Consider the following 26,207-nt stretch of genomic DNA (forward strand, 5'->3'; position numbering starts at 1 on the left):
CTGAATTATTTAAGCAGACTCCCACAAGGTGCCAGCCAGGTGGAAATTCCTACCAAGGTAGATCTAGAGTCTGAGCTATTTGAGAAGGCTGTGAAGAGCAGCGAGTCAGAAGGGTAGAGTAGAGGGAGTTTCCAAAATGTAAGTGACCCTGTTCCACGGCTGCTGCCGCAGGTGACACCATCACAGAGTTTTCTTTCTGTTTATTGAGGACATTTTGCTGCCTAGATCCTCCTTATTTGGGAGAATCTCATGCTCAGGAAGGAGATGGTACAGCAGTGCTTGTACCTCTCAGATCTCAGTTTCAGAAGCCATGAGAAATACTCTGCTTGAGCATATTCACTCAACTGAGTCTTTTGCTCCATGTCTTCACACAGAAGCCAGGATGAGGGAGGAACTTGTACGTGGTCCAATCAGCACAATACCCAGGAGACTTCTGGCCTTGGTGTTGCTATCTACCCTTTTCAGATTTTTCCCTCATCTATTCAACCAGCCAAATGGCATAGGTGTAGGGCCTGCTCTTAAAGCAATGTCCTTCCTGACCCAACAGTGGCCATGGGTCATAAGCCACAGCAATGCTTCTGTACATCCTCCAGGGCTATGGCTCTTAGCCACAATCTTGAGACACACGGTGCCTATCAGGTCAGTGGGAGACAAAGAAATAGGGTTATGGTCAGTACCCCAGAAACTGCACATATCCACAGCTTAGAATAACTAAACCATGGCTATGCTGTCAAAACATCTGGTTTCAGGCAGAGGAGTGTCACACACTTGAATGCCACCCACTAAGTATGTCCTAGCAGAAGAGAGACTGTTCCAGGCTGTCCCTTGGCCCAAAATCATTTACTAAAGGTCATGGCTGTCCCAGGGCATCCAGGGCACTGGGAGTTCTGAGGGTAAGAATGAAGGCAGATTTCATCACCGTCCTTGACATCCCTATGCTCAGTCCAAGGAGGAGGACTTCTAGTGTTTTCCAGCCTCTGACAAAAGGAACAGTAGGGTTCCAGAGAGGTTCTTCAGGGGTTCTTGAGATTTCTATTTGTATGTATATGTGTGTGTTTATGTGTGTTGACACATTGGAGAATATTCAGAATGCCTGTTCAAAATGTTAAATAACAGGTGACAATGATAACACCTGGGAGAGCACCCAGCTCTCCATGTTCATCTGGGCTGTTAGTCTAACTAGTTTACTATTAGCTGATCTAAATAGTAGATTGCAGAGTAAAAATTGTGTAACGTCTTTGTGTGTATTTTTAACTTTTTAATCATAGTTATTGATTTAAGGGGAAATGTTATTTTTATCCATATTGTAGCCTCATCTTTAAAATAATATCTTCCATCTCACATTCACTCCTTTCCAATGGAGAGCAAGTGAGTTGTCTGAGAGGTGAAATGGCAAGAGTTCTGCCTTCCTTTGTCTCTGCTTTTCTACTGTGCTCACTCTGGTTGCTGGAAGGATGTCTCTCTGTGGACCAAGTTCTATCCCAATGCAGGCTCCAAGGTTTAGACTTTGAAATAAATATTATGAAGTTCATCTTGGCAGTGGTACAAGTTACATTTGCCAAAGCTCTGATTTATAAACTCTCTGTCTTAAACCATTCTCTTTCTCAATTGTTTAAGAGTTTGGGAAGGAAAGACATATGATTAATTAACCCTCTCAAAAATCCCAATATTACAAAGAGTGTGACTGTGTACAGAATCCACCATTTATACATCTAGTTATGTAAAATTTTATTCACACGAAATTGTATTACAGCTCATTGCATTAAATACAATACCAGATAAGTCCAGGTGCACCAATGTCTCATGATAAATTATTTTAACAGCTATCCCCTAGTGACATGGTAATATCATAGTGCAAGGCATTACTCATGTGTTTGTGGTGATGCTGGTGCAAAAAAACCTACCTGGCTCTCAGTTGCATAAAGGTATAGCACATATAATTATGTATAGTACATAATTCTTGATAATGATAATAAATGGCTATGTTGTTGGTTTTTATGTATTCACTGGATTTTTATCATTATTTTAGAGTATACTCCCCTACTTACATAAAAAGTTAACTGTAAGACAGCCTTAGGCAGGTCCTTCAGGAGATATCCAGAAGAAGGAAGGCACTGTTGTCATAGATGGCAGCTCCATGCATGTTATTGTCCCTGAAGACCTTCCAGTGGGACAAGATGTGGAAGTGAAATACAGTGATACTGATTATCCTGACCTGTGTAGGACTAGGCTAGTGTGTGTGCTTGGGTCTTAGTTGTTAACAAAAAAGTTTAATTTTTTAATTAGGAAGAAAACTTTACAGAATAAGGATATAAGAAAGACAATATTTTTGTACAGTTGTACAATATGTGTTTTAAGCTGCTATTACAAAAAAGTAAAAAAGTTAAAAAAAAGTTTATAAAGTTAAAAAGTTATAGTAAACAAAGATTAATTTATCATTGAAGAAATAGATTTTGTATAAATTTAGTGTCCCCTAACTGTATAGTGTCTTTAAAGTCTGCAGTAGTGTAATTTCCTCGGCTGTCACATTCACCCTCCACTCACTCACTAACTCACGTAGAGCAACCTCTAGTCCTGCAAGCTCCATTCATGGTAAGTGCCCTATACAAGTGTACCATTTGTATCTTTTATACTATATTTTCCTGTAAATACACTGGTGTATATACAAACTATATATATATACTGTATATATATAATTTTTATATATACTATATATATATTCCCTGTATATATAATTTATATATAGTGTATATATATACTATATGTACTGTAGATATATTTACTATACCTTTTCTATGTTTAGATACAAAAATACTTACCATTGTGTTACTACTGCCTAAAGTATTCAGTATAGTAACATGCTGTACAGGTTTATAGCCCATGAACAACAAGCCAGACCATACAGCCTAGGTGTGTAGTAGACTACACCATCTAGGTTTGTGGAACTATGCTTTATGATGTTCACACAATGACGAAATCACCTAAAGATGCATTTCTCAAAATGTATCCCTGTCCTTAAGTAACACATGACACTACTACTAGAAAAAAAGCCTGTTAAAAATGACATGGTATTGGTACTGCAAGAAGGATGTTCGATGACCAGCTGATTTAGAAGTACAGTTAGGAGCATTTGCTGATAAAGAACTTCAGAAAGACTGCAGCATGACAACAACCTCACTTCATGAATTATTCTAAGGTTGAGATCATGAAATATTTATAATAAAACTGAACAGGAGTATGCCTATTGAGAATATTTCCATTTTGCTTATTTTTGTACAATATGGTTAAGCAAGTCAATGGAAAGATGACTGACACATGTGCAACAGAAGAAAACTTTAAATATTGAGATCAGCTTTTTAGCATATTATTGAATAAATCAGCACAATGGGATGTTTATACTGACATTGCAAAAGCAATGACAAGAAAAATTGTAGAAACTATGTTTTATATAGACATTATTGCTAAAGTGTGCTTAAGTAATTGTGTGTTGCATGAAAAACAAATGAATTTAAGAAGCTGCAGATATATTGCAAAATGATGTCTGACAAAGCCCTTCATAAAAATTGGCTTTAAATTTTCAGCTTTTCAGTGTTATTTGTATGAAATGCGAAGACATGGGATAAGTCCTGGTCACTGGCAATAAGGGACAATGTCCTGGCAAAGATATTTCAAATGAGATAAGAAATAACCATTTTTTGTTGATAAACATCATTATGTTGATAAATATCTCATAAACATATCATAGTTACAACAGCTGGAAATTTTTGCTGATTTGTTTAATAAACTGAAAAAGCTTGTCATGTGCAATATTGCAAGGTCAATATACTTAAAGCAGCAGATAAAGTGTAAACAATCAAATGAAAACTGACTCAACACCGAAAATAAATTCAGCTTTCTGAAACACTTAATCACTATTAATTCATTAAATAATTGTTTATCAAGCGCTTTTTATGGCCTAGGCATTGATCTGAGAGCTGAGGATATGGCTATAAACAAAAACAGTTCCTACTGTCATGGAGTTTAGTTTCATGGAGGCAGCAGACAATAACTACACAATGGCTAAATATATAACATATTACATGGTACTAAATAGTATGGAAAAGAAATAAAGAAAGGCTGGGGGAACAGACAGTATGGGTGCAGGCCTGCTTGTTTATACAGGGTGGTTAGGGAAGGCTTATGAGATCAAGTATTCTTTCGTAGGAAGTGAAGAAGCAAATCACATGGATATCTGGAGAAAGAGCACTGTTAGGCAGAGAGCACCAGGAACACAAAACTCAGTCAGGATTGTGCAAGATGCTTCGGAGGCACAGCAAAGAGGTCAGTGTGCCTGGAAGGAGGGAGTGGCTGCCTGGATTACAAGGATAAGTTGGATTCAATCTATGAGGACCTTATGGGATTTGGGCTTTTACTATGGATGACATGGGTATGCATTGGAGGGTTTGGAGCAGGGGTATGCCACTACCTAAGCTATGGGTTTTTCACTTTTATTATTTTTAATTGACACATAATAATTTCACCTATGTATGAGGTACAGTGTAATAATTTAATACATGTATACAATGTGTAATGATCAAATCAGGGTAATTAGCATATCCATCACCTCAAACATTTATCATTTCCTTGTGTTGGAAACATTCAAAATCCTCTTCTAGCTATTTAAAATATACAGGGAATTATGAATTATAGTCACCCTATAGTGCTAGAACACTGGAATTTACTCCTCTTATCGAGGTCTGCTTTGCATCTGTTAACCCACCTTTGGCTACCTCCCCTTCTGCTTTGTTGAGGAAAGACTAGAAGTTAAGTGCAGACCAGGGTAACCACATAGGAGGCCACCACAATAGTCAAGGCAAGAGCTAATGGTGGCTGGGACCAGGGAATTTGTGGTGGAAGAAAATTTCAGATTCTAGATATATTTTGAAGACTGAAGCAACAGGATGTATGGGTCTATAAGAAAAAGAGGACTCAAGGATTGCTTTCATCTGGGCAATGGGAAGGATACAGTTGCATTTTAAGAGATGAAGACTTTAGGAGTAATGAGTGTTTTTTGAGGCAGGAGGGAAGTTTTGTTTTATATGTGAGATACCTATTTCCTGTCCAAGTAGGAACTTTAAGAGACAAACTTGGATACTTAAGTCTGGAGAGAGAAGTTTGAGAATTATCAGCATATGTTTGAGACAGGATGATATCACCTAGAGAGGAAATACAGATAGAGAAGACAGGATATACAATGACTCAACCCTGGGACACTCCAATATTTGGAAATCAAAGATATGAGAAGTAACCATAAAAGAAAGTTGGGTGGGGGGTAGTGATCAGTGAGGAAGGAGGCCATCTATCTACAAGGGAATAGGGGCCGAGCAGTCAGGTGAAGAAAGTACTGCAAGAAAGAGGTAGTGATTATGCCAGTCACGTGCTGCTGGTGGTGTCAATCACATCCATTATATCTCGCAAAAAGCAGATCAACAGTGACCTTGACAAGAGCATTTTAGGCAAACTGGTGGGACAAAAGCTTGACTGATGAGGTTTAAAGCAGGATTGGAGACAAGGAGTACCAATAATTTAAAAAAAACTTTTGAGGAATATAATGCTTTAAAAAAATAGATAATTGAGTGTTGACTTGAAGTGGTTGTGAGACCTAGGGAGAGAGAAAAGGAGAGAGAGACAGACACCGATTTTTTTTAAGATGAGCATTATAAGTATTTTTTAGATGGAAAATACGATGTTTTGTGTGCTGATGAAACAATCCAGTATAGAGAGGAAAAACAATTATGAAGGATGGAGAGGGGAAAATTGCTGGTATGATACTCTTGGGTAGATGAGAGGGATGGAATCCAGGTCACCAATGGAGGGTTGTCCCCAGATAGGAGCATGGACAGGTTACACATGGTAGCAAGAGGGACCACAGTAGAAAGGTAGGTGAGTAGACAAGACTATATGGATGTTCTCTTATAACTGCTTCTGTTTTCTCAGTAACATAATAAGTATGCTCGTCATTGAAAGGGAGAAGAGTGATGGAAATGTTGGAAATTCGGGGAGAGAGACAGAGGGGCAAGAGAGACATGGATTATGCAAGCACATGATTTTAATGATAGTTTGTGGAGCTTATACTGGGTAAGAAGAGAAATGAAGACATGAAGGAGATATTGGCCAGATAAAACATTGTGGTATCAATGAATTGTAGTTTCCAGCGTATTGAAAAACTTCTCAGAGTGGGATACCAGAGCAAGTAAGTTGGAAATACAGGAGGTTAGGTTTGGGAAATGGACTATTTGAAACTCATTTTACAGAAGGGTTGTAGTTGTTAATAATAATGACTGGTCTAGGCTGGTATGACATGGGAGTAGATGAACGTTAGGATGAAAGACAAACCAGTGAGAGGTGCAGAGGTCAAAGAATTGTGAAGTAAATTATTAAATGAATCATTTTTGTGAATATTAAAATCACCAAAGACCATGACAGAAAGTCTTGGATTGAGCAACAGTGAACAGGGTGCCAGATACTTACCTGGGGATTTGCAATGAAGAGAAGCAGTGGTTGGTGTAATGGATGCCTAGCCCATTCCTTGGCCCAATGAGTACAAAGGCATGGGCAAGAAGAAAATGGCCAGACCATGAGAGGACTACGCGGAACTCAGGTTTCACTTAGGACAAGAAGGTGGAGGTGGCTTTGTGAGAAGAGTTGGTTGATACAGCACATTTTTTCGATGTGCAGCCTTGAGTCTTGAGGGCTTGTGGGGAGTTTAGGGTGCTGGAGAAGGATGGAAGATGGAGTCCCATTGGGGATTGTGCAGACCTATGGGGAAGGGAGGAATCCTGGTGATGGCAGGCAATTTGGGAGTCCTGAGCTTCTGCTGGTGACTGAGACAAACAGGCAGAGGGCATGACCAGTTAGTGCTGAGTGTCATCAAGGCAGAATGAGAGAGCAGGCTGTGAGTGCTGAGGAGGACCCAGGAGGATGAACAGAGTCCTGTCCACTCCCACCCCCACTCCCATTCCTCACCACCTCCATTCCTACTGGCTGTGGCTGGATTGCTTTTAAAAGGTTCCAGTCAAGGACTGAGGAATCTTAAAATGTTAAGAATAGCATCAAGGATTGTCTCACATTATAGATGTGCCAGTAATACATTACATTGCTTTATATAATGTCATATATCTTGTCAAGTCATAGCATATCAAATAGTTCTCTATTCAACACTTACATTATCTGACATAGTTGTTTTTTAAAAATTATTTTGTCATTAAACACTTTTCAGTCAAGGAATGTGAACAGTTCTTAGACATTTCTGCTGATTGTCTCCAAATCCTTTATAACTATTTTTTCAAATATTGAGGTTAATCTAATAGAAAAATATGCCAAAATTGTAAAGTAAGCTGTTGAAAACCAAAACAAAGCAAGAAACAAATCCTGACAACTGTCTAACAGCTGGTGCTGTGACTGGTGCTCCCTGAGTTGTGGACTGCACAATCCGGACAGCTCCAAGCAAAGGCCCCAAGGACCATGTGCAAAGTAACTATTATTTTACCAGTACTGCCCAACCAGAAAGAAAAAATACAGAAAAACAGTGGATGCAGAGACTAATTAATAATACTACAACTATCATCTGCATTTCATGAATTGAGTTTTGTATGTTCATCAAAATAACCCAATTTTTCTTAATTAACTAATTGATATAAATTTTAATGTAAAAGATAAATTTAAATAAATAAATAAGCTCTTATCTGTTTTATGTATAGTGGTCTCAATGTAAGTTGCTATTAGACAAATGGTTGCAGTTGTTAAAGTATTTGAAGGCTCTCAGAGACTATTAGAGATTCCATGCTTTGTTAATAGGTGTTCTGTGAAAATAATAATTACAAGTGATAATTATCTTCACAAATGTTGTAAACAATATAAGCATCATTGTGATAAAAATAACACATACTAATTTTATTCTTAGCATACAATCTGCATTTAAGAAAACAACATGCCTAATCAGAGAAGGCCAGAAAGTCACTGACAAATTATCTGACCTGGGAATACATCACCTGTAACTTGGGCATGAATTCGCATGCAGAGTTTCTGGTTCATCCTTGCCTTGATGTATAGTGTCTAATGGAAGGGAAAAACTCATCAATGCAATTTATCTTATTTTTCAATATCAGCATATACTTGAGATACTATTCAACGTTAGTAAATATGATTAACTTTACTACACACATGTATTCTGCTTTGATGTGTTACTGAGAAAATAAATTTGTGAGACCTTTGCATTTTTTTCTCAACCATAATACAAAGGGGCCGTTATCTGTATTTCTCGAACAAAGTTAAATGTATTATTTCATTATTAAATTTAAAATATGACATATATTGTGTTCAAATAACTTTGGGAAATGTAGTTCTAGAGCAATGTTATTCAAGCCTCTATTAGTAAGCAATGTGTATACTTTTATTTATTAATGAATTATCTGCACATATTACTATATAAATTTTAAGTACAATATAACAGAAAACAAAAAAAGAAAATTTTAAAAGTTGGGACGATAATTAGAAATACTACTTTGAGTCATGGTGGACACCTTCCCGTGTCATGCAGAGTCTTCTTTGGGGACCAAAGTTGGCTTAAATGAAAACAGAGCAACAATTACTAGAGCTAAACCCTCTGCAGGGCTTGGGGCCAACAACATGGTTTGCATAGTATGAGGTGTTGTTACACACCAGACCACAAGAGGGCAATCGCGGGAAGACCACAGGATCCACGGGGAGATGAGGCCCTCCAATCTACAAGCCAGCAGTGTGGCTTGGAACACCTCTACGAGCCTCATCTTAGACATTTGAAAATGGAAACAACATCAACAAAGACAAGAGACACTAAGTTGATCTATTTTGAAGGTTAAATAAGGTAATATATTTGAATTTTTTCCTAAGTTGTAAAGTACTGTATAAAATGTTTATTTTCAATAAATTAGAAGACCGATGAATCTCTTGCCTAATAATCTTATTAATCTTATTGCCTATCGATTTCTTGGATTTTGCTTCATGTGTCTATGTTCACATTTCTTGCTACCTTTTGTTCTCTCTGGCATTTTCTTGGCTTATTTTTCTTTTCTGACCGTTTATCTTTCCTCCCTTTCTTTCTGTCTCTGTCCCGAATTGGTCCTATGTAACTGCTGGCAAACTCTGTACCAGCACTCTTCGAGGAGCTTAATGTGTTCTATCTCATTTAATCCTCACACCGACTGCGTAGAAAAGTACTGTGTCCATCCTCTTTTTATAGACCAAGAATCTGAAGTTAAGAAATGTGTTCAAAGACGCAGAGCTGGTAAATTATAGAACTAAGCTTTGAGTCTAAGTTATTCCACTGTAGCAGCAAGTCAAATCAGGAGACAGAAGTGATGGAGTAAGTTAGACAGAGGGAATTTAATATAAGAATTAGTAACAATTAATAAAAGAAAGACTAAACTATAAGACATAAGAAAAAAGCTCAGGGAGGGTACCCAAAGAAGGACAAAAGTAGAAGGGGCTCTTACCTATTGGGAAAAGTGCGGTTTAGCTACCAGTCAGCAGAGAAGTGCTCTGGCTTAGCTAGATGGGGTGGGTCTGGAGTTAAACCCTCCAATAGGGGGCAAACAATAGGTCACCTTCCCAATGCAGGGCAAGGCCGACATTGGGAACCATGTGGCTTGGATATGCAGTGGGAGTCCAGGCTTACCTTCAGAGTACATGGGCAGCAAGCAGGCTTGCAAAGGGGGCCGCAGCTCTGTGTGGACTGCCCCTCCCCCACCTCCATACAGCTGATATGGGCAGCTGAGGCCATGGAGGGGCTTTGGTTTCAGGATGAGAAGGCTGTGAAAAGGTCATCCTCACACCAAGGCTGCAAGGAGGCAGAGGGATCTCGTTCTGGGCCCTTGTGGCGGGCACCACCGGACTGCCACACACTCCCCACTACCTGCCTCTTCCAACTGCAGTGTCCCTCCAGCGCCCCCTATGGAGAAAGTTTAGCATTGTTCTCACTTTAATGGAGAAAGGATTCGAGGGATTACATTGTTTGTCCCAGAGCACAAATCGAAGGGTGTGTTTGGAGCTGAGAGATAATAAATTGGTAACTGACACGCTGATTATCTCGCGCGCGCGCACACACACACACACACACTCACTCGCACATACACAGTACCATGGAGACTTTTGGAATTCATATGTAAGATAAATCAACTAAAGAGGAGTCATTGCTCATGCTTCAGGACTGTTACGGATGGCTGTGTTTTCCACCAGGAGGCAGCAAAGCCAAGCCTTCACCCAGACTGCAGCAGCGATGTGCAGTCAGGAATTACCTGAAGATTCTTATACTTATCACCTTGATGGGTATTCTTATATTGATCACCTTGATCATGCCTGAGGAGAAAAAAGAGGACCACAGTTACCTCCAGGAATAGTTATTTCTAATTGAAGTTGGGATCCAAGATGTAGAGTGTAGTTAGGAAAAGGCTGTGATACTTCAACCTCTTGAAAGCAGAAGCATGGCAGGGAGGACCTACTCCCAGATCCCAAAGGAGGACAGTTTAGGGCTTAGTTGAAGCCCGCAGCTTTAATTTTGGTTCCAGTTCACCTGGTGGGACACAGGAAGTACTGCTGGTCACCTAGCTACTCTATTTCAGGCTTTTTACAGACCACAAGAAGCTAATGCAAATTCAGAAATTATTTACAGATTGTTCAGAATATTGAGGACCCGAGATGGCCCTGTGCTTGTTCGGATCTTGGTGGCGACTAGCCCCAGAGGTAAATAACTCACTAGATGGGCCCAGGGATGGCTCGAGAATATATGCACGACTTAGGGACAGCAATCAGAGCAGGCAAGGAGAGCAGCCAGGAGGCTTGCCTGAAAGCAAGCACCTTTGTTTTTCCTTAGATTATTCAGTGACAGTTCTGTAAAACAGCAAAGTTTGTTAGTCAGGTCAGTCTTCTTACAATATTGAGAATGTTGCAATTGCCCATAATGAACACAAAGGTGCCTCAGCAGAGACACAATCTCTGATTTTAAATCCTTACCCTGAAGAGACAGCACCCGGGAAAACAAGTGTTCCTCAGGTCTAAGGCCCATGGGAAGGGACCGCGACAGATGTGGGAAGCAAGGTAGCACTTCTGGAAGCATTGGAGATGAATCATATTCACTTCAGTGGGCAAAAGCCAAGCAGATGCAGGGACAACCAGACCATAAATGGAAGGAGGGTCTGAGTCTGACAAAGAGACAACGTGCACCCCTTTGTAGAAGTTCACTAAAACCTGACCAAGAGAAAGCTCAACTTCAGAGCCTTTCTGCTTTTATTGCCAGAGATAGCTCTAACTTTGCCAGTGCTACCCTTGCTAATTCAGTTCCTAGAACTCTGTGGTGGAGAAGTTGTGCAGAGGGTTGTCATTCTATTTCCTGGCTTAGGTGGTAGTCACACAGATGTTTTACTTTGTTTAAATGCATTGGCTGAAATGCATTGGGCTGTATTCTCGATGCATGTATGTTACAGTTCAACAAAACCACATTAAAATAATACACACAAATGAATAAATATAAAAATATCCAGGACAATTCTTAAAAATAAAATTCATGTGTAGGAGCTAGTTCGACTAGATGTATAACATATTATAAAGCTATTATAGTTAGACAGTTTGTACTGGACCATGAATATACAGACAGATCAATAGAGCATGATAAGTTCAGAGCTGGGAAAAAATATACAGAAGAAGCTAGTACATGATAAGCACACCCTCAAATCTGTGAAAAAAGATCAGTTAATAAATGATGTTGCTACAACTGGGAAGCCATTAAGAAAATAAAAACTCTCATCTTATACTAGGATGAGTTATTTAAGGGTTAAAACATTAAAAGTTAACTCTTAAGAAAATCTGGGGGTATTCTTCTACACTTTCAAAATGGGGATCACTTTTATAATTATAATACAACAAACAAGAACTAGAAAATAAAAAAATTTTAAAACGTGTTTACATAATTATCATTTTCTATATGGCTGAAATATAACAAAGTCAAAGGTCAAAAAACACAGAGGAAGAAATTTAGTTTCTCATAGCACAAAAATAACTTAATTTCTCCAATATTATATAAGTGCTACAAATCAATAATAAAGTCATCAAGAATACAATTAAGTATTAGGTAAGTTATGTCATCAGGCAGTTCCCAGAAAATGAATGTTGTGGTTCACTAAATGTAATAAAATATAGTTGAGCTTAGTTACTAAGAGCAACTCAAAACTACTTTGAGATCCCATTTTTAACCTACCAGATGGGCCAAGAACAATTAGTTTAAAAATACATCATTTTGATGAGTTTGTGGGGAAAAAAATGCAGTCTTATACATTGTAGGGAGTGAAATAAATCAGTGAAACTCATATGGAAGAAACTGGAAATACTGATCAAATTACAAAAGTATTTAGCCTCTGAGTCAGCAATTGCACTTAAATAAATATATTCTATCTCCTGAGGAATGATGTATAAATAATGTGTTCACTGCAGCATTGTTTGCAAGAGCCAAAATTGGGAACTGCTATATATACATAGGTTATTATCCAGACTGGGAAACAAAGAGAGAAAGTCTTAATGCACTGAAGTGGAATGCTCTCCAACAGATGCTGTTGTGAAAAAAGCAATGAGCAAAATGATGTGGAGTTACTCTTATTTCATTAAAAGAAGAAAAAATATACATGTTTGTGTGGGGTTTTTTGTGCATAAAATAACCCTGAAAGGATATTTCAGAAATTGATCTCTGTGAACTGAAGTAATTGGAGTTTCAAGTTGGGGATTTCACTGTGTATCCTTTGTAACTTCTGATTTTAGGCCCAAGTGAATGTGTGATAATGATCACTATTAATAATATTAAAGGAGATGGGCCATGCTCCGTGGTGCATGCCTATAATCCCAGCAGTTTGGGAAGCTGAGGCAGGAGGATCTCTTGAGCTCAGAAGTTCAAGACCAGCCTGGGCAATGTGGCAAAATCCCATCTCTACAAAAGATACAAAAATTAGCCAGGTGTAGTGGCACGCACCTGTAGTCCCAGCTACTTGGGAGACTGAGGTGGAAGGATCACTTGAGCCCAGGAGGTCAAGGCTGCAGTGAGGCAAGATCACACCACTGCACTACAACCTGGGCAACAGGGTGAGACCCTGTCTCAAAAAAAAAAAAAAGGACAAAAAAAATTGCATTAAAGGAGACCTGCAGGAAGCAGAGCCTCAAATGCTGGAACCCAGGAAGACAGCACCATAAGGACTCGCTCCGCTCCGTTACTGGATGTAATCACATCATTACATTAGCAAATTCCTGCAAACTGGCCTCAACTTTTCTCACCATCAATTAACATAGCCCATGCAGCAAAGAAAGATGGTAATAGTCTTCCCCACTTTTGATAACAGAGGCAGAAAAACATAAGGAGGTAGGAGTGTGGCTGCCGCGGGACACATTCTGCTAGTTTGGATGATGCATTGAAAACAGCCTTAAAAAATGAGTTCCCCAATTTGGACAAGCAAGTTGGGAGTTATTGGCAGAAAAAGTTTGATTTAAGAAAAAAAGACCAACAATCACCATTCATGCATTTAACTAATATTTTTGAGTATTTACTATGTATTAGGAACTATTCTGACTGAGAGCCTGAGATATATCAGTAAACAACATTTGCCTTTTTGGCAATGACATTCTAATGAGAGAAGACAATACATAAAACTATAATAAATAAAAATTAGCTCATTTTAGTGCTATGAGATACTGGTCTTTATATTATACTTATATTATATTGTATGTGAAAAGTACTACCAAAGGAAAACAAAATAGGACTGTGTAAAGGTGACTGGAGTGAGGGCAAGTGTGGAAGATTGTCATTTTAATTAGGAAAATCAGTGTGTACCTCACCGAGAAATTGATATTTAAGCAAAGACTTGAAATACAAACAAAAGGCCCTTAGTGGCATGCTTGTGCATTCGTATGCATGTACACATGTGCACACACCTGGCCTGCTGCAGGAACAGCAAGGAGGTGAGTGTGGCTGCAGCAGAGCAAGTGACAGGAAGAACAGTAGGAGATGAGGTCCAAGGTGTGTGTGGAGTTGGGGGTCAATAATGCAGGGCCTTGTGGGCTATTGTGAGGACTTCAATTTACCCAGCAAGGCATGGAAAGCCACTTCAGGTTTTTGAGCAGGAGAATTACATGATATGACTTATGTTTTAAAGTCCACCCCAACTGCTCTGCTGAAAACAGACAATAGAGGACCAAGAATAGAGCAGAGATACCAGTTAAAAGCTGATTAGAAAAGTCAGCAAGAAATCATGGTGTCTCAGAGTAGGTTGGCCACAGTTACAGATGGATTCATTTTGAAGTTAACAGAATTTACTGATATTAACTGAGTGTGAGTTATACAAGACAGAAGCCAAGGAGGACTCAAAAGTCTTTAGCTTGAGCAAATGGAAGAATAGAGTTAGCATCTTCTGGGCTGAGATGTCTAGGGGTAGAGGATGTTTTCAGGAAAATATCAATAGCTCAGTTGTGAGCACATTAAATATGAGATGTCTATTAGATATCCATGTGAGAATACTAAATAAATAAGCAGTTGAATATGAAAGTCTGAAGTTCCGGAGAGATTTCTCAGCTGTTATTAACAAAGTAGACACCATCATCAATGACATATAGATGGCCTTCATGGTCAGGAGACTGAATGTTCTAACCAAGAAAATGAGTATTGATGGAGAAGAAAAGAGAACCAAGGACTCCAGCAGGAAGTAGCCAGGCAGAAGAACAGGAACACAAAGAGTTCCAAGTTAATGTACTGGCTAAATTATTCTTCCATGTATTTATTTACTAAATGTGGATTTAGTACCTAGGATGTTCCATACATTGTGTTGGAAATAGAATTTAAATGGTGAGCAGAAAGTATATCTATCCTCACCTTCTAGATAGCCTTCATTAGCTTAATTTTAACAAACTAATATGCATCATGGTTAAAAATTCAAATAGTTTGTGTGTATTTGATTCTTCTAGGAAAATATTTATGTATACTAACATATATGTTTATCTTATTTTGTATATATCTCCGTATATACATTCTTTTTATAAGAAAAGGAATATACTAACATATTGTTTACTGGATTGCTTTCTTTGATTACATAGTTGGGAGAATTTTTCATAGCATCATCTACAACTGGACTCTGTTTTTATTAGCTATATACTATCCTATTACATGATTGTAAAATGAAATCTCATTAACAGAATATGAAAATACCTGTTTCTCAACATATTCATTAACAACTAATGTGATCAAAATTTCATATTTGTTGCCAGACTGTCATAGAAAAGCCAGTGTCTCATTGATCTTCTGGTTTGCATTCCTTTAGTTATGAATAAGCATTTCTTCATAGATTTGTTGGCCATTTCCACCTCTCTCTCTCACTCTACCTCTCTCTCCCTCTCCGTACTCTTCCTAGAAAGAACTTAATTCTTATAGATTAAGGCTTTGGTCCCAACTACAATGTTAGAGACTTTGGGAGATGTGAATAAGAGTAGACATTTTACTGAGAATAAATTTTAGAGATAACTATAAGCATGAAGACCTGAAGAAGACAAGTAAAAGAGAAATACTTGAATAGGCTATTATAGAATGAAAAGCACAATTCACATACTTCCCAAGAGTGCTACCCTTTGGCCGAGGTGGTTCTGTCCTGGACTTCAGACTTTAAAGAGTCCTTCTCTGGCTCTCCTCCAGCCATGACCCACCCCCATAGGATGATTCAATAGGTCCAGGGTACAGGCCCAGAGCTGCTGTCTCTCTCACTCCAGCTATCCAGGACCCCAGAAATCTCTGTCAACTGGCCCTGAGATCACCTTTATGTGTCTATCCTCTTGAAGACTCAAACAGCCAATACTGTGCTCACTTCTAGGTCTCAATGACCAAGAGAGGGGCAGTTTGAGAGATCCATGTATGAAAAGAACATGGACGGTATGGACTAGGATATTTACACTCATGCACGCCCGAGGTCCCTCGTGACACAAGATGAAGCCAGGGAGTAGGAAGAGAACCAGGGGTGAACCACAGGGGTCAGAAGCCTCTGTTTGTGCTCTTGCCTGGTGTCCTACAAATGTTTATGGCAGGCATGCTTCCCAGAAGAACAGAATTTCCTAGTCACTGTCCTCAAAGAGGCCATGCTACAGGAAGAAAAGGAAAGAGTAAACATAATGAAATGCTTCTCTCTTATCATTATTTTAGTCAATTCACTATTCAATTGATTCAGTTTCAGAATCTTTTATGTGCCAATTGCTCAGCCAGACACTGGGAATATCAAAGTGAATAAAATAGGGTCCTGGCCCCTAAGGCATCCCAGTTTCTCCCCTGTTTAAAACCTTTCAGTGGTTCCCATTGTCCTCAGGATAAAGTCCAAACTCTTTTTCTTATGGCATAAAGGTCCTCACCAACACAGCCTTACCTACCTAGGTAGGTGAATCTCCCCCTTCTCCTTACTCCCCACTCTGCTCCAGCCACACTGAGCTTTTCCACCAAATAGCCTATACTTTCACATTTCTGGATCTGAAAATGTCCTCCCAGACACACCCCTATGTCCAACTTCCTATTTCCAATTTCCAAGTCTCAGCTTAAATATCACTCCCTCCAGGAAGCATATCTGACCCCCAAACCTGACCCCTGTGCTTATCCTACCATCATTATTATCACATGGTATTGTTGGCTATTGACTTGCCTCCATATTGAATTAGATCTTTGAGAATGGGAACTACATCCCATTGAGCTACACTTCACTTTTTAGGACAGAGCCTGGTAGATAGGAGACAATCAATACAGATTTGTGTTTTAGGTTATTGCATGCTTATGGGTTAGCTAGGGAGCTTTCTTTTTATCTTTCAGGAAAGAAACCAAAGAGACAGACTCTCCAGCAGGCAGGGGGCGCCAGTGAGTGAGCTAGGCATAGAGTCTTGTGGAGAGAATTATGGTGTCATAGAGGCTTAGAATCTTGGCATTAGCAGGGAAGGGAACCCATCTGGTTCAGAAGGCTTTGGCTTCTGATAGTCATGGACTCACTAGGCTGCTGAGGAAGATCAATAATACCTACTGGAATCAGTCATGAGAAGTCAAGCATGGAAATTGTGAATTGTGTGTGTGGCCAGACCAGGTAACACAGAGAAACATTGTCTTTTGGGTCCTCTCTCCATGGCTTTTTCATGTGTTCATTAGTTCATTACGTATTTACCTACTGAGACCCATGCAATGCCATTCAGTGTGTTGGATGAGAGGATTCCAGGATTCATCCTATCTTTCAGGAAAAAGCTCCTGCTTCTATTTAAGAGGAAGACATGGGAGCCACTGGGGGTGGGGATAGTGAGAATGCCTGTGTTTATGGAACTAACAGACCACAAAAGTGAGACAATTGGGAAAATAATAACCACTATAAAAATGTAATGGGAAGTACAGGGGATCCAAGAAAGCCTTTCAGGGAGATGGAGGTTTTGGGTTAAGGAAGTTTTCCTCGAGGAGTGATGTGTAAGCAGAGACTTCAGGTTTGAACGATATTCAGTGAGCATGTGGGGACAGAGACCCAGGAAGGGTGGTTTAAGCTGGGAAAGAGCACATTCAAAGACCTGGAAAGAGGTGAGAAAATTCAGCAGGTGTCTGCTCTGAGCCAGTCTGGTGCCTGAGGGAACAGTGTTTGGACATGAGGCTGGGCCTGTGGGCAGAGGGAGAAGGTGCCTTGCCAGAGCCCTCCTGGTGGTTTGGGCTCTGTATCAATCCTCTCTGAATAGAGCAATAAGAGCTAGGAAGATGGCCCTGGCCTTGCACCACAAGTGTTTGACATGATTAGGCAGATTTCCTGAGGCAGGCTGTGCACAGCATGGTTGGGAAGGAAGGGAAATGGAGCTTGGAGAGAATATTTATTTATTTGTTTGTTTCTTTTTATTTATTTATTGAGATGGAGTCTCACTCTGTCACCCAGGCTGGAGTGCAGTGGTGAGGTCTCGGCTCACTGTAACTTCTACCTCCCGGATTCAAGTGATTCTCCTGCCTCAGCTTCCCAAGTAGCTGGTATTACAGGTGCACGCCACCACACCCAGCTAATTTTTGTATTTTCAGTAGAGATGGAGTTTTGCCATGTTGGCCAGGCTGGTCTCAAACTCCTGACCTCAAGTGATTCACCCGTCCCAGCCTCCCAAAGCGCTGGGACAACAGGTGTGAGCCATTGTGCCCGGCCAAGGAGAGAATCTTAAGAAGAAACTCTTGCAGGAGGCAGAGGGGTCCAGGAGGCAGGTTTGTTGGACAGGAGCCAGGGTTCTGAAAGTGGAGGATATAGATACTATTCACCAGGCAGAAGGAAGACAGTGGAGACAGCACTGGCTCAGAGGGGCAGGACCTGCATCCATGGGGGTGAGGTTGCAGAAGGACTTGATGTTGCCCTCCCTATGCTACAGTCAACAAGACTGGTTTCCAACCTGCTGTCCTTCTCTGATATTGCACAACCTCCACATTCAGGACCTATTCCCAGGATCTCACTATGGGGGACATGCTTGGAGTGGGGACATTGGTGGGACTGGTGAGGCAAGCCCCTGGACCTGGGCTCCAGGTGCCTCTGATGCCTCTGCACCTCTGATCACTGGAATGAGAATTGCTTCTGTAGAAACAGCTCAGTCTGGACTTGTAAAGATGGACACTAACAAACTGGACTTCCAAGTGGTGATGAGACTCTGCACTTTGGTCAATTCAGGGCACTGACCTTCAGAGTAGAGAAAGGTAAACCAGAGACAAAAGACAGAAAGGTAGAGACAGAATGAAGACCAGAGAATGATAGAGAGGCAGAGAGGAAAAAAAAATAGCAAAAGGCAAAAATAAACACAGAGAGGAACAACAGAAAATAAAAACAGAAGGGGCTCACTCCTCCCTCGTCCCTCTCAAAACCTAGTCTTAGGTCTGACCTCTAAGGGAGCAGATTCAAACAACAAGGAGATACGGACAGATACTGGGCTCCCTGCATACCCCGGCACACCCAAATTCACCACTGTACAGCTGCAGGGGCACCCAAGTGTGTGCTTGTGTGTGCGTGTGGACACACACACACACTTCCTGTCAAACAGCTTTGAACACTGCAAAGGTGGTAGAGAACATGGCCCTGTACTCTCTCACCTCTTCCCTATTTTTATACTGGTCTGTCTCCGTCTTATTTCCATTTTTGGTGTGCCTCTCCATTGCTCACCTCTCTCCTTCCTGTTCTCTCTCGGGCAAGTCAAGGCATCGCAGGGCCTGTATCTGCCACCTCAGCCTCTTTGCAGCTTCCTCTGACCTAGAAGGAGCAATAGGGTGACTTGTCCCCACCCCCATCCTTTAGGAGTCTTTGCTCTAGTGTCTTCCTCTTAAATGGAAGCAGGGGCCTTTTCCTGAAAGATAGGATGAATCCAGGAATAACTGGCAGAGATAGAGTCATGACTGAATTAAAGCCAACATCCTAACCCAAGTCACTCTCCCCTTTTTAGGTGGGAACTGCCCTTGACCCAGTTCAGGCTGCAGCCATATAGCCAGGGACTTAGGATCATGAAAGGTTTATACCAGGTGGCAGGGCCTTAAGAGATAACTCTTCCCTCCCAATCTTCTCTCACCCTAATGCTGTAGTTCAGGAGATTCAAACATAGGGGTCCTTATAAGAGGTAGCACTGTGCTCCCCTCCTTCCCACAGAGAAACCCTGAGATGAGGCTCCAATGGTTCAGAAAGTGAAAGTGAAGAGAGTCTGCGCTGGGGCTGGGTCCAACGTGTGAGTCTGAAAGTTACTGTTTCTAGTGGGTGGCGCTGTCGGCCACACCTGGCTCAATGGGACCCAGTTTGTACACTATGAACTGGATTTAGGTGAATCCCCAGATAAAAAAGGGTTGAGTCTAAGAGCATGTCACCCATCATTCAGGATAGCCACAGCCCTGGGTCTTCTATAAAGTCACAAGGGTGATTCAGATAGCAAAGTAGGTCATCTAACAGGCGTCCTTTAGCAACCACCTGACTGGAGAATCCTGCACACCTTCAGGAGAGGATGATACAGATTTTTGTCCTACTGGGGTGGATTAGTCCATTTCCACACTGCTATAAAGATACTACCCGGCCGGGCGCGGTGGCTCACGCCTGTAATCCCAGCACTTTGGGAGGCCGAGGCGGGTGGATCATGAGGTCAGGAGATCGAGACCATCCTGGCTAACAAGGTGAAACCCCGTCTCTACTAAAAATACAAAAAATTAGCCGGGCGTGGTGGCGGGCGCCTGTAGTCCCAGCTACTCGGGAGGCTGAGGCAGGAGAATGGCGTGAACCCGGGAAGCGGAGCTTGCAGTGAGCCGAGATTGCGCCACTGCAGTCCGCAGTCCGGCCTGGGCGACAGAGCGAGACTCCGTCTCAAAAAAAAAAAAAAAAAAAGATACTACCCAAGACTGGATAATTTATAAAGGAAAGAAGTTTAATCGATTCACAGTTCCACATGTCTGAGAAGGCCTCAGGAAACACAATCATGGCAGAAGGCAAAGGGGAAGGACCTTCTTCACATAGTGGTGGGAGAGAGAAGTAAGAACAGGGGAAATGTCAGATGCTTATAAAACCATCAGATTTTGTGAGGTACATACACAGAGCCAAACCATATCATGGGGTAACCCCCAGAAATTATTTTATTTTATTTTATTTTACTTTATTTTATTTTTTGAGATGGAGTTTTGCTCTTCTTGCCAAGGCTGGAGTGCAATGGCACGATCTCAGCTCACTGTAACCTCCACCTCCTGGGTTCAAGCGATTCTCCTGCCTCAGTCTCCCAAGTATCTGGGATTACAGGCACCTGCCACCATGCCCATTTTTCTATTTTTTGTAGAGACAGGGTTTCACCATGTTGGCCAGGCTGGTTCTGAACCCCCGACCTCAGGTGATCCACCTGCCTCGACCTCCCAAAGTGCTGGGATTACAGACGTGAGCCACTGTGTCCGGCCCTCCCCCAGAAAGACTTTAATGTGAGGAGAGATTTGTAGCTACTGTCCCCAGGAGTCCCTTTATCTACAGGACACAAAAGAAGAGGACAAGACAAGAGATGTGGCTTTCTAAACATCAGGGAGAGTGTTTGGAGCAGGGCTGTGGGGAAGCAGCCTGACAGCAGGTCAGGATAGGATAGAGGGCAAGTAGGGAGCACCCAGCAGGAGAGAGAAGGCCAGGACAGAGGCTGGCCCCTACTAGGAGCTATTCACACTGGCTCTAACTGTAAAGACTCATGAGAAAGTTCAAGCAATCTCAATTTGTTAAACAGCCATCATCACAAACCTCAAGTTCTTCTCTCCATGTACCTATAATTATGCATGGACACATGCCTACATGCACTTAGGTGCACACACACACACACACACACACTCTCACAGAGATATGGGCATGTGTGTGCTTAGTGGAAAGCCCACAGCAGTAACTGGCTCAGTTTAAAAAACAAGTTTGGGGGCTGGGACATTGGCTCACGCCTGTAATCCCAGCACTTTGAGAGGCTGAGGTGGTCAGATCACCAGAGGTCAGGAGTTCGAGACCAGCCTGGCTAACATGGCAAAACCCCATCTCTACTAAAAATACAAAAATTTGCTGGGCGTGGTGGTAGGCATCTGTAATCTCAGGTACTCCGGAGGCCGAGGCAGGAGAATCGCTTGAACCTGGGAGGCAGAGGTTGCAGTGAGCTGAGATCGCACCATTGCACTCCAGCCTGGGTGACAAGAGCGAAGCTCCATCTCAAAAAAACAAAAACAAAAACAAAGAACCACTAATTTGGGCCAGAGGCTTTTCTCACAATCCCAAGGATGCCAGAGGCTGGAAGGTGGTTGCCACCTCACCTCAGCAGTTGTCACTCCAAATCCCACACCCATCCTACCCTACCAGTGACAGGGCTCTGACAGGCCTGGCACCTCCCTGACATGGGTTTGTGGCTTTGTGAGCTGAGTCCACAGAGGGGGTACAGGCTCATTTCCCGTGCTTCTACATTTCCTTGAGGAGGCTAGATAACAACCTGCTCACTGTCTGCTGTTTCCTGGCCACTTCTAGACCCTCTATTCTGCTCTGGGACCACAACAGTGGCGTTCATCCTCTCATCATGTGCCATAGGAGGGACCAGGGCGGAAACCATTAGGGGCTTCTCCAGGGGCTGCATACCTGGGCTGAGGCCCAGGGACGTTCCCAGAAGAGCTTGGACTTCCTGGGAGGAGGAAGATGGGTAGATAGAAGTAAAGCAAGAGTTGTTTGGATTTTCTCTATACCTGGAAGAATCAGGAAATGATAAAACTGCTGAGTGGTTGAGTTTGAGGACACCTACCAGGTCCAGTTCCCCCTTCCTCACCCCCACCACTGCCCCTTTATAGAGGAAGAGGTACAAGCCCAGAGAGATGAAGAGAACTGCACAATCCCTTAGGCTTGGGAGTTGCAGAACCAGGCCTGGAACTCAAGTCCTGCCATGCCAAGAGCACTGTACTTTTCATTTCATCTTGCTGTAACCACCACAGTGCTCCGTGCATGGGACAAAATGATGCATTCAGGAAGCGTGTGACAGTTGGTCACTCTAAGTGCAAGAGTTTCATTGCACCTGGGTCCATGGGTGCCACATTAGAGACAAGAACAAGCACATGCTCTGGAGTGGGATAGAGCTTGGCTTGAATCACTTACAAGCAACTGAGGTGGATTTTTGAACTTCAGTGGTCCTCATATGAAGTGAAGTGGACTAAAAATGTCTACCTCAGGCTGGTAGCCGTTATAACATTAGCTGATGTTTGTGAAGTGCCTGACACTTGACTCAGGATCTGGAGACTGAGGGTCAAACTGTTTGCTCATTAGCTAAGGGACCTTATTCACATTGCTTACATATTCTGGTCTTTTGATTCTTTATCTGACAAATGACTACCTAGTAAGGAACAAACACACTGGCATATGCAAAGGTAGAATTATGGGGCTGGCTGGCCTCTCTGAGGGATCCAGCTCTGCTTTCTCAACCCTGGTCTGAGTCATTATCCTGAAGATGGATGTATTTGGGTGTCAAGAAAGGAGGAAATGAAAGCAGGCACCCAGATTTCCTTCTGATGAGAATATTATTTTCTTTTTCTAGTACCTCCAAGTGTTCAGAAGATGTGTGACCAGACAAAACACAGTAAATGCTGCCCAGCAAAAGGCAATCAATGCTGCCCACCACAGCAGAACCAGTGCTGCCAGTCAAAAGGCAATCAATGCTGCCCACCAAAACAGAACCAGTGCTGCCAGCCAAAAGGCAGTCAATGCTGCCCACCAAAACACAATCACTGCTGCCAGCCAAAACCCCCATGCTGCATTCAGGCCAGGTGCTGTGGTTTGGAGACCAAGCCTGAAGTCTCACCCCTTAACATGGAGTCTGAGCCCAACTCACCGCAAACTCAGGACAAGGGCTGTCAAACCCAGCAGCAGCCCCATAGCCCACAAAATGAGTCCAGGCCAAGCAAATGAGAGCAGAAGAAGTCAAACAAAGAAGAAGTCCCTGGGGCCATGCCTTTCACTTTGTAGGGTGGGGGATTACTGAGAGTCAGGCTAGACCTGTGTTTAGAGAAGCAGTTTTCACAGTGACTACCATTTCCACCCAATGAGAGGCTCCTATTTCCCATCATAGCTCCCTACCCTAGGGAGGCCTCCATCTGGAAATGGGAGGATGAAGAGGCTAGAATCATCTTTCCTAGTGATCCTGACATTTAGACAGCACAGAAATAAAGAGCAATAAAAAGAACATTGCCTCCGTTTGTTCCTTTACTTACTTGTGAAACCATCTCACCAGCCTGGCCTAGAGCCCAAGAAAATATTATGGGCATGTCCTGGAGGTCCAAGGAGCAAGAACTAGCATCCTGAAGAACAAAACCTCTGCTGAGCTGGAGTGTAGTTGACTGACTCATCTTGGTTTTAAAATGAAAGTCCTGCATTCCAGGAACCCCTTCAGTCCTTATTAAAAAAAAAAAAAGATTATTGGTCACTCAAAGTGCAAGAATCCTAATTCCTCTGGGTCCCTGGGTACCACATTGCACTCCAGACCAAGCAAAAATATGTAAGTCCCTTGGAGTGATTCCACCCCCGCATCCAGAAATTTTAGATGGAGGTAGAGTCCCCAGGACTCAGCAAAGCACAGTGGCTAGCGGCAAAGAGTGAAATCTTCCAGGATCAGCACTGGCTCCTCAGTCACAGAGTAGCAATCTTAAAGCAAGTGGTTCAGTGTTTCTGACACTCTATTTCCTCGTGTGTAAAATGAAGACAATGGTACTTCCCTCAAAGATTTTTTTATGAGAATTAAAAGGGATAATTCATTTAAAGTGCCCGACATAGGGTCTGACACCGAGTGGCTATTCAGTGTGCATAGTTTTCAAACTCCTCTCAGCCACAAGGCCCTATTTCCCTCTAAAGAAGACATCATTCTCCAATAATTTGTCCCCAAGCACACCCCCACTAGTCCAGGTAGACAGGTAGAAATAGAGAAATCAGCCTCATTAAGCACACTTGTAAACTTCCATTTTTACTGCTTTTTGATGTGTAATTAACATATCACTTTTAAAATTTTTCGAGTGCACTTCTGTACTCTCTCTCTCATACTTCTCCCTGTCCACCAATCCCCAGAAAACTACTGGTCTACTTTTGTCCCTTCAAATTAGTGTTTTCAAGAATTTTATGTAATCACACAGTAGGTTTGTTTTTTTATGCTGAGAGTTTATTATTTCAAAGCAGGTCTTCCCCTACCCACTAAACACTGCATATAAGAAGAAGCTCAAAACTGCAGTTTCTATTTTGGTACCATCTAGGGTCTATGAAAGTCATTTTCAATTACTTGGAATTTCAAAATAGAGATTCCCTAGCAACAATGCAGCGGTGGCACACAAAATATTCCTGCACTTTGTTTAGTTTGTGGGAGAAATTGGAAGAATTTCATAGTCTTACAAAAGTTATGTTGGAAGTAGTTTATTTTTCCCTCTAGGTGGGCAGGCAGCCATCTCTCCAAAGTTTTTGTGAATGCTAAGGTTCAGATTTCAAAATGTAAACAGATTTTCACGAAGCATCTAAAATGGGCCACTCTATTTCTATTCTGGGTCATGGCAACTCTGAGTTATTTTGTATTCCCACACTGCAAAGGGCAAAACCCCATTCCTTGCATGTAAACTTTCAGGAGAAGTGATGCAGCACGATTTTAGGAGTTTCTTGAAGTAGCTAGCGACCTGCAAGTTCAGGTCATTCCAAGAATCTGGCCAGATGGGAGAAATCTTGAGATCTTGGGCTCCTGAAGGCTTCCTCGTGCCCCATCCAGCTGGTCCTGGGGGATTCGTGGTTGCTGCAGTAGTTGGAGGGTTGCTACTCTTCACAGCCTGGGTGGTGGGTGCCCTGCTCTCCACCCTGGGAGCCTCCACTGGCTGTCATGCTCCAGGGACTACTGCGGTTCCAAGGCGAGACCTCCACCCTCCCATGGCACCAGCCTCCAATTTGGCATCGCCCCCCAACTCATCGGTGGAAGCCAGTGAGAGTCCTGCTACACTGGGCCTCACCACCATCCCCAGGCCCAATGCGGCTGAGCAAGATCTTGGTAGAGCTGGGCTTTGGGATCTGCACCCTGTGCAAGGACAGCCGAGATGAGCTGACTCACCCGCCTTTCCCTTGCTGGGGTCTGGGGAAGCCAGTGGTAATTACCCAACCCTCTGTGAAAGGCAAGGCTATGGGTCTGCAGGAATGGTGGGAAGACCCTGCCCAGCCTGGAGACTCCAACCTTCATCCCTGCCCCTTGCCCCACCCCAGTCCCACTCCCTGTCCTCTTCCTGAGTCTCCACGCAGCTCTCTGGGTTGGCCACCCTCCGTGGGGAGCCCTGGCATCAAGTCAAGTCCCTCCTCTGCCACTTCCCAGCCCAAACCACTGTGCATTCTTTTATGCCTGGCCCCTTTTACTCAGCTAAATTAGATTGAGATTCAAACATGTTTTTGCATGTATCCACTGTTCATTCTTTTTCATTGCTGAGTAGCAAATACCCTCATTATTGTGAATATGTCGCTTTTGTTTATCAACTAATCCTTTGATGGGCATTTGGGTTGTTTCCAATTTGAGGCTATTACAAATAAAACTGCTATGAACATTCATGCACAAATCTTTCTATGAACATATGCTTTCATTTCACTTCAGTAAAGACTTAAGAGGAAAATGACTGTGTTATATAATAGGTG

At 42.1% G+C, this 26,207-nt stretch overlaps 1 protein-coding gene and 2 long non-coding RNA genes across 3 annotated transcripts, besides 4 other annotated features; 1 reads left to right on the forward strand and 2 right to left on the reverse strand.

Annotated features, from left to right (window-relative positions):
• Positions 1 to 267: 267 nt before the first annotated feature.
• Positions 268 to 6,904, reverse strand: LOC105371444 (uncharacterized). The gene is made up of 3 exons (XR_922149.2): positions 6,511 to 6,904; positions 2,049 to 2,161; positions 268 to 632 (listed from the first exon to the last, which is right to left on the reverse strand). It is a non-coding gene; the product is annotated as an uncharacterized LOC105371444 (long non-coding RNA).
• A 1,126-nt stretch (positions 6,905 to 8,030) lies between these two features.
• LOC105371445 (uncharacterized) lies at positions 8,031 to 11,196 on the reverse strand. Its single transcript, XR_922150.1, has 4 exons — positions 11,029 to 11,196; positions 10,772 to 10,905; positions 9,695 to 10,374; positions 8,031 to 8,094 (listed from the first exon to the last, which is right to left on the reverse strand). It is a non-coding gene; the product is annotated as an uncharacterized LOC105371445 (long non-coding RNA).
• A 5,826-nt stretch (positions 11,197 to 17,022) lies between these two features.
• On the forward strand, positions 17,023 to 23,748 carry SMCP (sperm mitochondria associated cysteine rich protein). The gene is made up of 2 exons (NM_030663.3): positions 17,023 to 17,147; positions 23,104 to 23,748. Exon 2 carries the CDS (start codon positions 23,124 to 23,126, stop codon positions 23,472 to 23,474), a length of 351 nt encoding a protein of 116 aa, NP_109588.2. The 5' UTR covers positions 17,023 to 17,147; positions 23,104 to 23,123; the 3' UTR covers positions 23,475 to 23,748.
• Positions 18,939 to 19,018: an enhancer, noted in NCBI's record as "active region_1733". NCBI's record gives its function as "activates an Ori minimal core promoter by ATAC-STARR-seq in GM12878 lymphoblastoid cells {active_cell/tissue: GM12878}" and the evidence as "EXISTENCE:reporter gene assay evidence [ECO:0000049][PMID:35858748]".
• Positions 19,149 to 19,208: an enhancer, noted in NCBI's record as "active region_1734". NCBI's record gives its function as "activates an Ori minimal core promoter by ATAC-STARR-seq in GM12878 lymphoblastoid cells {active_cell/tissue: GM12878}" and the evidence as "EXISTENCE:reporter gene assay evidence [ECO:0000049][PMID:35858748]".
• Positions 19,569 to 19,748: an enhancer, noted in NCBI's record as "active region_1735". NCBI's record gives its function as "activates an Ori minimal core promoter by ATAC-STARR-seq in GM12878 lymphoblastoid cells {active_cell/tissue: GM12878}" and the evidence as "EXISTENCE:reporter gene assay evidence [ECO:0000049][PMID:35858748]".
• Positions 22,783 to 22,912: an enhancer, noted in NCBI's record as "active region_1736". NCBI's record gives its function as "activates an Ori minimal core promoter by ATAC-STARR-seq in GM12878 lymphoblastoid cells {active_cell/tissue: GM12878}" and the evidence as "EXISTENCE:reporter gene assay evidence [ECO:0000049][PMID:35858748]".
• Positions 23,749 to 26,207: the final 2,459 nt, after the last annotated feature.

The sequence above is a fragment of the Homo sapiens genome, chromosome 1 (assembly GCF_000001405.40).
Source record: "Homo sapiens chromosome 1, GRCh38.p14 Primary Assembly".
Taxonomy (NCBI): Eukaryota; Metazoa; Chordata; class Mammalia; order Primates; family Hominidae; genus Homo; species Homo sapiens.